The sequence below is a fragment of the Homo sapiens genome, chromosome 11 (assembly GCF_000001405.40).
Source record: "Homo sapiens chromosome 11, GRCh38.p14 Primary Assembly".
In the NCBI taxonomy this organism is placed as follows: Eukaryota; Metazoa; Chordata; class Mammalia; order Primates; family Hominidae; genus Homo; species Homo sapiens.
Genome location: NC_000011.10, coordinates 58,034,201 through 58,046,251, shown reverse-complemented (window position 1 = coordinate 58,046,251; position 12,051 = coordinate 58,034,201). Strand labels below are relative to the sequence as shown.

The 12,051-nt window shown below is 41.1% G+C and overlaps 1 protein-coding gene and 1 pseudogene across 1 annotated transcript in view; one reads left to right on the top strand and one right to left on the bottom strand.

Annotated features, from left to right (window-relative positions):
- Positions 1-12,051, bottom strand: part of OR9Q1 (olfactory receptor family 9 subfamily Q member 1) — a 157,736-nt gene that overhangs the window by 135,365 nt on the left and 10,320 nt on the right. The window lies entirely within an intron of this gene.
- Positions 4,592-5,544, top strand: VN2R9P (vomeronasal 2 receptor 9, pseudogene; annotated as a pseudogene).

Genomic DNA, 12,051 nt, shown 5'->3' with positions numbered 1-12,051 from the left:
AAGCAGAATAGAGTTCCAGGGAAGAAATTAGCATTGTCGCCCCACAGGCAAGGGGCTGACCCCACCTGTTGAGATCTTCACTCAGTACTGTTTCAGGTATCTCGCAGCCCAGGTACTTATCTTCTCTCTTGCTTCTCCTTCCTCAGACCACAGAATCCATGCATCAGACCTTTCTAAGGAAATTCATTCTGCAAGCATGATCTGAATCTCAGTTGCTCCCAACTTGGAGTGATTTTGCCTCTCATGGGACAATGACAATGTATGGAGACAGTTTTGGTTGTCACAACTTGAGGGAGTGCTGCTGGCATCCAGTGGGGCAGGGGCCAAGGTTGCTGCTAAATGCCCTAAGATGCACAGGACAGTTCTCCATAACAAAGAATTATCCAGCCCCTGTGTCAGTAGTGCTGAGGTTTAGACACCCTGGACTCAAGGAACCCTAGAGTGGTGCTGAGGCTTAGGTAGTGTTTGTAGTCTTTGTTTCTGATTCACTGTGGATGACCCAGTTCTGTTGGGGCTAGGGGAAAATTAGTCCCTTAAATATAAACAAAGGGATTTGATGAGCCTAGAGTGAAAGACAGACTCTTCAGTTAACACTTCGGAATATGATCCCAGCTCACTAGCACTTGTCATGCACTCATGATTCTGGTCACTATGATATGGACTTCACTTACATTGTCTTATTTAATCCCAACACCACCTTCAAAGCACATATCATTATGGCCAGGCGTGGTGGCTCACGTCTGTGATCTCAGCACTTTTGGAGGCCAAGACAGATGGATCATTTGAGGTCAGGAGTTCGAGACCAGCCTGGCCAATATGGTGAAACCCTGTCTCTACTAAAAATACAAAAATTGGCCCGGCGGTAGTGGCACGCATCTGTAATCCCAGCTACTTGGGAGGCTGAGGCAGGAGAATCGCTTGAACCCGGGAGGCGGAGGTTGCAGTGAGCCAAGATTGTGCCACTGAACTCCAGCCTGGGTGACAGAGTGAGGTCCTGTCTCAAAAAAACAAACAAACAAAAAATACATATTATTACTACAACTTGAGTATCCCTTATCCGAATTGCTTGGGACCAGAAGTGTTTTGGATTTCAGATTTTTTCAGATTTTGAAATATTTGCATATGCATAAGGAAATATCTTGGGGATAGGATCCAAGTCTAAATATGAAATTCATTTATGTTTCATATACCACTTATACACATAGTCTGAAGGTAATTTTTTACAATATTTTTAACTATATCATGCATGAAACAAAGTTTGTTTATGTCAAGTCAGGTGTGGAATTTTCCACTTGAGGCATCATGTTGGCACTCAAAAAGTTTTGGATTTTGGAGCATTCCAGATTTCAGATTTTCAAATTAGGGATGCCCCATCTATATCTCCATTTTATTGAAGAGGAATCTGAAGCTTAGAGATGTTAAGCCCAAGGCACGCAAACCATAAAGGGCAGAACCAGAATTCCAACCATCAAGATGTCTTGTTTTCCCACCACACTCGAAATCCGGAAGAGCTTATTCTTACCTATCACTGTTTCCCTAACACCCTGTACAGTACCTGATATACGGAACACATTTTTAATTATCTGAGCAAGAAATGGAGAAAGAGGAAAATGAAAGAGAGTAGAAAAGGAAAACGTGATAAAGAGGGGTTTAATAAAGGAAGGAGTAAGAGAAAGAAAGAGAGAGAGGGACCTAGTAAGTGAAAACGATGAGGCTTATTCCTCCACGACCTGACTGCACAGATGTCGCTCAATTCCCCCTGCAGTCTCCCCAGCACTCTCTCCCCTCCACTCTCCCACCTCTTGTGTGTAGGTCCCTTCCTCTGTCTGCAACGAAAAACGTCCTGTGGAAACCAGGAAGTCAACCCTATTTGAGAAGTCAAAATGCTGCTACAAAAGCCTTCCCTGACCCAGAAGAGAAATCGCAATGTCACCAGGTAAGGAGGGAGGCTGGTTCTTGGTCAGAGGGTGGCCAGCCATCAGCCAGAGTAGACTTCAGATGAAAGCTGTGTCCACATCAAGGAAATTCCTTCAATGGAAAAGTCCAGGGAAGTCGAGACCAAAAAGAAGATGTCAATGTGACCTTCCTAGATGCTACATTAAAGCCATTTGAGGCTATTAAATTCATTCTTTCTTTTATCAACCATGAGTTTGTTCAAATCCTGTACTTAGTTTAACATTTGCCATATGGTAGGCATTTCATAAATGTTTAAAAAGAATTACCCTAATGACATAATCTTTATTTTACTAAGATGTCATTCATTCAACAGATATCAACTGGCACCAACCATATACAACCACTGTGCTGGGTGCAAGGGTACCAACAACAAATAAGCCATGGTCCTGGACCCACAGAGCTCAGGATATATTAAAAGAGAATGATACTGGACCCCTACACCTAGCACAGCTCATCTCTCAATAAAGAAACTAGACTATAAAGTGAAGTCAATACTGTAATAAATAAATAAATATTCAAGCATCGAGCTGTGAAAGCACGTTGGAACAATTAATTCTAACAAATAGGCAGGGAGACTTGGCAATGCAAGGGGTGGCATGTGACACAGGCCTTAAACAACAAGCAAGGTTTCAAAGGCAATGAAGCATAATAAGGATATTCCAGGCCAAGGAGGAAGTTATTATAGTAAAGGCATGAAAGCAATAAGGAGCTGAGAGTGGTTTCAGCATCAATTGTGATGCAAGATATAGGAAGCAGGTGGTCAGATCATAGAGGACTTTACCTGCTGGACTCTGGAGCATGGACTCTATTCTATAGAAAATGGGGAGGAGCCTCTGAACTACTTCAGTATAAAAGCAATGTGTATTTCAGTGTGTGTCTTGGGGAAATGAATAGACAAATAGACAAAGGAGGGAGATTGGAGCAGGAAGACCAGGTTCAGAATCCAGGTAATTGTTGAAGCCACAGGTTTGGATGAAGTCTCTTCAAAACTCTCCCTGGGAAAGTAGAGACTTTGGAAATACCTTTTGCCCTTTTGAAGAGAAAGTTTCCACCGAATGAAGCTGAGAAGGAACCACCAGGTGCTGAAGAGAGGATGACACAAATGAGAAATCCTTGAACTTAGACACTAGGAAGACATGGAATCAAAGTATCTAGGACCCTACAAATATATCCAAATCAAGGAAAGAGATCAAATTGTCCCTATTTGCAGACGACATGATTGTATATCTAGAAAACCCCATTGTCTCAGCCCAAAATCTCCTTAAGCTGATAAGCAACTTCAGCAAAGTCTCAGGATATAAAATCAATGTACAAAAATCACAAGCATTCTCACACACCAATAACAGACAAACAGAGAGCCAAATCATGAGTGAACTCCCATTTACAATTGCTTCAAAGAGAATAAAATACCTAGGAATCCAACTTACAAGGGATGTGAAGGACCTCTTCAAGGAGAACTACAAACCACTGCTCAAGGAAATAAAAGAGGATACAAACGAATGGAAGAACATTCCATGCTAATGGGTAGGAAGAATCAATATCGTGAAAATGGCCATACTGCCCAAGGTCATTTATAGATTCAATGCCATCCCCATCAAGCTACCAATGACTTTCTTCACAGAATTGGAAAAAACTACTTGAAAGTTCATATGGAAACAAAAAAGAGCCCGCATCGCCAAGTCAATCCTAAGCCAAAAGAACAAAGCTGGAGGCATCACACTACCTGACTTCAAACTATACTACAAGGCTACAGTCACCAAAACAGCATGGTACTGGTACCAAAACAGTGATATAGATCAATGGAACGGAACAGAGCCATCAGAAATAACGCCGCATATCTACAACTATCTGATCTTTGACAAACCTGAGAAAAACAAGCAATGGGGAAAGGATTCCCTATTTAATAAATGGTGCTGGGAAAACTGGCTAGCCATATGTAGAAAGCTGAACCTGGATCCCTTCCTTACACCTTATACAAAAATTAATTCAAGATGGATTAAAGACTTAAACGTTAGACCTAAAACCATAAAAACCCTAGAAGAAAACCTAGGCATTACCATCCAGGAAAGAGATCAAATAAGAATAAATGACTATTCCAGGGCTCAGGCCACAAAATACATCCTTAAAATCACTATGGAATACAAAACTGTTAAGTTTTGTTAATATTGTTATTTAGAGAAGGGTAGCACGGTTTAAAAAGAGAATCTGTGTACATACTAAGCACTCCATAAACATTCCTTAAACTAAATTGGCTGATGCCTGAATAAATCTGTAAATTAATTAGCTGTGGCTATGAATTACAACATTACCACAATGGTTGGTCAATTTAAAGGGATCCTAGACAGGAGTTGGAGCTTCCATAGGTGGTTGTCTCAGTGTTATTTCATGATAGTCTGATGCATGATAAGCAGCTGCTGTCAGGATTTCTGCCATCTGTGTCTTTGGCCCTGAATCCGAGGACATCAGACAATCTGGAAGGCCCATCCAATTGAGACTGAAATGCACCAAAGCCTGCTAGATAAGCCATCACAAGTTGTAGAACTGCTTGACCACGGAAAAATTTCCAAAAGCTTCCCCACTCTGTTGTCTGACCCAGTTTCTCTTTCTCCCTTCAGATAGTGTTGCATGTCAGAAGTGCTCTGACAACCAGTGGCCCAATGTGCAGAAGGGCGAGTGCATCCCCAAAACCCTTGACTTCTTGTTCTATCACAAGCCCCTTGACACAGCGTTGGCTGTCTGCACAGCCCTGCTCTTTCTCCTTGCCCTGGCCATCTTAGGCATCTTCGTCTGACACCACCACACTCCCATCATCCGAGCCAACAACTGCCAGCTCAGCTATCTCCTGCTGTCCTCCTTGGCCCTCAGCTTCCTCTGCCCCTTCATGTTCATTGGCCACCCAGACCCCATCACTTGTGCTGTGCACCAGGCAGATTTTGGGGTCACCTTCATGGTCTGCACATCCACTGTGCTGGCCAAGACCATCGTGGTGGTGGCAGCCTTCCATGCCACCCAGGCAGACACCCAGCTTAGGGGGTGGGCGGGGACAGTCCTCCTCAGCACCATCCTCACTGTTCCCTGACCCAGGCAGCCTTGTGTGCACTCTGGGTGACCAGATGGCCCCCTCAGCCTGTGAAACTCTACAGAACCCTGGCCCACAGTGACTGTAAAGTGTGATAAAGGCTCCTTGGAACTTCTCTTGGAACTGGGCTACTTGAGTTTGCTAGATCTGGTCAGCTTGCTGGTGACCTTCCCCACCTGCCGGCTGCCTGACACCTTCAATGAAGCAAAGCATATCACTCTCAGCATGTTGTCTGCTCCTGTGTCTGGGTGTCCTTCATACCTGCCCACATGCATGCCCACAGCAAAGACACCATGGCCATGGAGGTCTTTGTCATCTTGGCATCAGCAGGAGGCCTCATGTCCTCCCTCTTCTTTTCCAAATGCTACATCATCCTTCTCCATCCTGAAAAGAACACAAAAGACCAAATGTTTGGCCGGCATCATCGCAAGTGGGAAAAACTGAAGTGAACCATAGGGAGCGTGGCTTTCTCAGGGATGCCTTCCTGAACTCCCCACCAGGAGGACGAGCCTTCTTCTGAGCCCCATCACACAGGTCTGAACCCCTCCCTGTCCCTGAGCTGCTTCTATTTTATATTTCATTCTATCAAGGGGAGAGAAGACATGTTTGCAAATAATATTGTCCTTGATAGAAGCATCTGGTCTAATTCATTCTATGGCCTCTCAGCACCCAGCCAGCACCTCATACAGTGAGGAGACAGAATACGTGATTGGTAAATGAATGAATCAACTTATGCAAAATTAGCATTGGAAAAGGTCTTTGAGAGGAGACAGGTAGAGTGGTTGAGTGGAGCCAGCCAGACCTGGTTCATGTCCTCCTGCTGTCATAGCTATATAAACCTCAGCATGTTACCTCACCTCTCTGAGCCTCAGTTTGCTGCAATGTAAAATGAGACTAAGACTTCATCTTCGGGTTGTTGTGATAAAACAAGAAACTGTATGAAACATCTCAGCACATGATAAACATTCAAAAGGTAGATATTTAAAGTCACCCAGTCCACTCTGTCCTTTTACAGATAAGGGAACTGATGCCAGGAGAGGGAACCAATTTACTCAGGGTATCACTGTACAGAGGTTAAGAGTCAATGAACAGGTTTCAAGCCCTAGCTCTGCCACCTACTTTGCTGGGTGACTTTGGACAAGTTACTTAGCTTCTCTGTCCCTCAGTTTTCTCCTCTATAAAGAAGGATAATAATAGCACTGACTTCATGATATTATCAATGAGGTGTTAATAAATTTAGGAGTAATAAATTTAGTAAAACATTTAGGAAAGTACCTGGCACAGAACAAACACTAAACAAGCATTTGTTAAATAAATCAATAAAATCATACCCAGTGGCAAAACCTTTACCTTGATTTATTGCCAAATAACTGAAAGTTTTACAGGACACTTGCTCTAAGCTATGTCCTGGAAGGGACCTTCAGAGAGGCTAAACTATAATCCTTATTAGCAAAGAGTTTGTGATCTGCCATCACCAACCTAACCTGAGTGGAGTGGACTAAACATATCTATTGTGAAACTGTTTTATAAGTAAATAACCTGTAGCTGCTTGCCTTGGAGTAAATGAGGACAGGTGACTGTCACAGACCCAGTGAAGTGACCACCTATGCAAAGTCTGCTCTAAAGGAAGCCTCTCCACTTCCATGAGAGTGTGAGGATGCTAAAGAAGCCCACAAAATACTGGGCATCAACTGATTAAATGAAAGTGCTCCTGGGTTGCTCCCTGGGGAGAAACAGAGCTTTACTCTCGTTACACAAAATATCTCAACGTATCAAGGCAACCACATTTCTGGGCAATGAGATTCATTTTAAGTTCCTACCAAAAGGTGCTGAAAATCCTACCTTGACAAGGCTGGCCAAAGATGTTATTGGAACCAATGAGAATGAAGCCACCAAAGAAAGCAAGGATATGAAGAAGATTCCATTTAGGCCGGGCGCAGTGGCTCACGCTAGTAATCCCAGAACTTGGGGAGGCCAAGGCGGGTGGATCACCTGAGGTCACAAGTTTGAGAGCAGCCTGGCCAAATGGTGAAAGCCCATCTCTACTAAAAATACAAAAATTAGGTGGGTGAGGTGGTGTGCTTCTATAGTCCCAGTTACTTGGGAGGCTGAGGCAGGAGAATCACTTGAAACTGGGAGGCAGAGATTGCAGTGAGCCAAGATTGTGCCACTGCACTCCAGCCTGGGCATCAGAGTGAGACCCTGTCTCAAAATAAATAAATAAATAAATAATTTAAAAATAAAGAAGAAGATTCAATTTAGAGGAACAAAGCTGTAGCATTCCACAGCCAAAGCCAACATTTTGACAGACACACCCTAAAAATCAGTTGCTAAGGACTTGGCATGTAAAAATGGAAAAATAAGAGACTAACTAAAAAGACTAAGAACCCTGAAAAACGAAATAGAAATCCCAGCACAGGTACAAGGGACAAGAAAAACATGGAGCCATAAAAGAGAGACCAGAAGAATGTCAGTGAAGGAGAGTTATACCAGAGCTTTTGACAATGGTGATGTAATGGCTCACAGAAAACTGTAGGGTTCTGATTTCAAAGTGTAGATCCAGTCATTCTCACCAAGTCCCAAGTCAAAGGACCTTCCCAAGGGTGGTTACCAGGTAGTTTCTACCTAACAAATCAGTATCCTAATACCCAGAATGGTCAGAGTAAGACAAGCATCACTCCTTACTGAATTCCATCTTAATAAGTCTTATTTGTCCAGAATTACTCCCTGTGACATTCTCTGAGTAACAGTGGAGTAGTATCTATGCTAGGTTAATCCTTCATATGACAATGTTTCACTCTATAATAGATATATCCCCAAAGAAGAAACTATATTTTTAGAAACTCCCTATTTACAAAAATGTGCATTTCCTACAACATGATTGTATAGCTTATCTCATTGCAGATTGATCTGCCATTAGTAGTGGCTTTAAAAATTTAGCTATCAATACCTGCACATATCATGCACCTCAAATTCTTGTAGGTAGGACTGGTTTTTAAGGGAGTTATTGTTTTAATTTGTAATGTAAATAATCACATTCACAAAACTGGGTTTTTCCCAGTTTCATTACTTGTATCAAGTTTTATTAAAGCAATATTCACGTTAATATGTTTAGGATCCTTTCTATGGGTATGCATCAGACTTTTTACCGTTTTATGTAATTTATCTCAAAAATATAGTTATTCTGGCCGGGCGCGGTAGCTCATGCCTGTAATCCCAGCACTTTGGGAGGCCGAGGCAGGCGGATCATGAGGTCAGGAGTTCGAGACCATCCTGGCTAACATGGTAAAACCCCGTCTCTACTAAAAAAAAAAAAAAAAAACAAAAAAAATTAGCCAGGCGTGGTGGCAGCCACCTGTAGTCCCAGCTACTCGGGAGGCTGAGGCAGGAGAATGGCATGAACCCAGAAGGCAGAGCTTGCAGTGAGCCGAGATCGCGCCACTGCATCCCAGCCTGGGCGACTGAGTGAGACTCCGTCTCAAAAAAAAAAAAAAAAAAAAAAAAAAAAAAAAAAAAAAAAAAAAAAATATATATATATATATATATATATATATATATATATAGTTATTCTTTAAGAAGCTCAAAATGGTAAACTTTACTGACACTTCCCATATAGTTATCCTTAGAGTAGTTCTCAAAATTCAGAAAACATTCCCTGTGTTGGAATTTGAATTTTTTCTGCTACAATAAATGAAAACTACATAACCCAGTATGTTTTGCTTTCTTTTCATCTTTCCATTTTGTTCGGAAACCTAAAAGTCTAACTCATTTTGTGTTCATATCTACTCAGGTCAGGTGCCTGAAAGTCTACAGGCATACCCCAGACATATTGTGGGTTTGGTTTCAGATCACAGAAATAAGTGAATAAAGCAAGCTCTCACACAAATTTTTAGTTTCCCAGTGCATACAAAAGTATGTTTACACTATAGTGTAGTCTATTAAGTGTGCAATAGCATTATGTCTAAGAAAATGTACATACCTTAATTTTAAAAATACTTTATTGCTAAAAAAAATGCTAACAATAATCTGAGCCTTCAGAGAATCTTAATCTTTTTGCTTATAGAGGGACTTGCCTCAATATCGATGGCTGCTGTCCAATCAGGGTGGTGGTTGCTGATGATTGAGGTGGCTTTATTAAAACAAGACAACAATGAAGTTTGCTGTATTGATTGACTCTTCTTTTTGTGAAAAATTTCTCTGTAACACATGATGCTAATTAACACTATTTTACCCACAGTAGAACTTTTAAAATTCAAGTCAATTCTTTCAAGCCCTGATGGTGTTTTATCAACTAAGTTTATGGAATATTCTAAATCCTTTTATTGTAATTTCAACAATGTTCACAGCATCTTCACCAGGAGTAGAGTCCATCTCAAGAAACTACTTTCTTTGCTCACCCATAAGAAGCAACTCTTCATCCATTCGTTTTGTCATGAGATTGCAGCAATTCAGTCACATCTTCAGGCTCCACTTCTAATTCTAATTCTCTTGATGTTTCCACCACATCTGCCATTACTTCCTCCACTAAAGTCTTGAACCCCTCAAAGTCATCCATAAGGGTTGGAATCAACTTATTCCAAACTCCTGATCATGTTGATATTTTGACCTCCTCCCATGAGTCATGAGTGCTCTTAATGGCACCTAGAATGATCAATCCTTTCCAGAAGATTTTGAATTTACTTTGTCCAGATCCATCAGAGAAATCACTATCTATGGCAGCTATAGCCTTACCAAATGTATGTCCTAAATAAGACTTGAAATCAAAAACTACTTGTACCATGGGCTATGGAATGGATGTTATGTTAGGAGGTATGAAAACAACATGAATCTCCTTGTACATTTCCATCAGAACTCTCGTGTCATCAGGTGCATTGTCAATGAGCAGTAATATTTTGGAAGAACTATTCTTTCCCGAGCAGTAGGTCTCAATAGTAGGCTGAAAATATTCAGTAAACCATGCTGTAAACAGCATGAGACAGGAAAATGTTTACTCAGTGAAGCAGTCGGAACACACATATTTATCAGTTAAGTTCACTGTCCTATATGTGCACAGTTCATAGCTCCCCAAAACAATGACAATAGTGACATCAAAAATCACTACTCATAGATCATTATGACACATATAATAATAACAGTAAAGTTTAAAATGTTGCGAGAATTACTAAAATGTGACACAAAGAAGCAAAGTGAGCACATGCTATTGAAAAAATGGCACTAATAGACTTAACACAGAATTGCTACAAATCTTCAATTTGTAAAAAAAAAAAAAAACCAGTACCAGTGAAGCACAATAACACAAAACATAATAAAATAAAGTATGTTCATATACTACTTGTATTTCATTCACATGGATTATTATATTTGATCTGGAAAGGTTCTCACCTCTGCATTGTTTTTGCATCTTGCTGTCATCCAAAAGAATCTAAAGCACATTCTTGATACAATAGTCAATAAATGAAATGATTTTCAAAATGTGCCCTTCCTGTTAACTTTGGAAAATGCGATAGGTCAGACCCTATTCAGGGAGACTGTGACAATGAGGGGCACCATATTGCAATATGCTCATTACTGGCCCCTAAGGAAAATATGTCTTTCCCCCAATTCAGTCCCAAGCTCAACATTTTCCTCTTCCATATTCTATAGTTTCTGGAATCCACATTGAAATGATTATTATAAATGTCTTTTTAAGTGCATCTACCTACATGTAAAGAAATACCTGAATTATAATTGTCTTTTTAAGCCTTACTTCAAAAGAGTTGACACTGCCATAAAGAGCTCCTTCAATTTCCAAAATACCAACTGACATAGGGGAGCAGTCTATATATCAAATAAGCAAATATAGATACAAAAAATGATTAAGTGCATGGACCACATGAAAAATCAGCTTTTATTCTGGGGACTTAGTTTGTGCCAAAAACTGTGGATTGTCTACCACAATTTGTTTTTTTTCTTTTTCTGCAATAATTAAATGGTGACTGGGCATCTGGCTACCTAACTATGGACTATTTTTACTACCCTTGCAATTAGATTTGACCTAAGGCTCACTTCTCACCAAAGAGGTGAGAGGAAGTGATGACTGCTACATCTAATCAAGAAATCTTAATTCATTCCTGTAGTCCCAATACTTTGGGAGGCCAAGGTGGCAGATCGCTTGAGCCCAGGAGTTTGAGATCAGCCTGGAAAATAACCTGGCGAAACCCATCTCTACAAGAAATTTAAAAATTAGCCAGGTTTGATGCTGTGCACCTGTAGTCCCAGCTACTCAGGAGGCCGAGGTGGCAGGATTACCTAAGTCCAAGAGGTGGAGGTTGCAATGAGCCAAGATCGCACCACCACACTCCAGCCTGGGTGACAGAGTGAGACCCTAAAAAAAAAAAATGAAGGAAGGAAGCAAGGAAGGAAGGAAGGAAGGAAGGAAGGAAGGGAGAAAGGAGGGAGGGAAGGAAGAAGGAAGGAAGGAAGGAAGGAAGGAAGGAAGGAAAGAAAGAAACCTTAAGACAGACAGTGTGTCTCCTCCATGCTCTATCTTCACCCTTCTTTCCCACTGGGACCCAGTATTGACCATGTAAATAACAAGAAGGCTCTAGACAAGGGTTGGCAAATGGTTTCTGCCACAACTACTGCCATTGTAGCACAAAAGCAACCACCGATGATACATATAGGTGTGACTATGTTCTAATTAAGCTTGATTTATGGGCGCTGAAATTTGAATTTTATAAAATTCAAATGTTTGTGTGTCATGAAATATTATTCTTCTTTCAATTTGTCTTCAACCATTTAAAAATGTAAAAATCATTATTAGTTCACAGGCAATTAAAAAAGCAAGTGCTGGCCGGGTGCAGTGGCTCAAGCCTGTAATCCCAGCACTTTGGGAGGCCGAGGTGGGCAGATCACGAGGTCAGAAGATCGAGACCATCCTGGCTAATACGGTGAAGCCTCATTTCTACTAAAAATATAAAAAAAATTAGCCAGGCATGGTGGCGGGCCCCTGTAGTCCTAGCTACTCGGGAGACTGA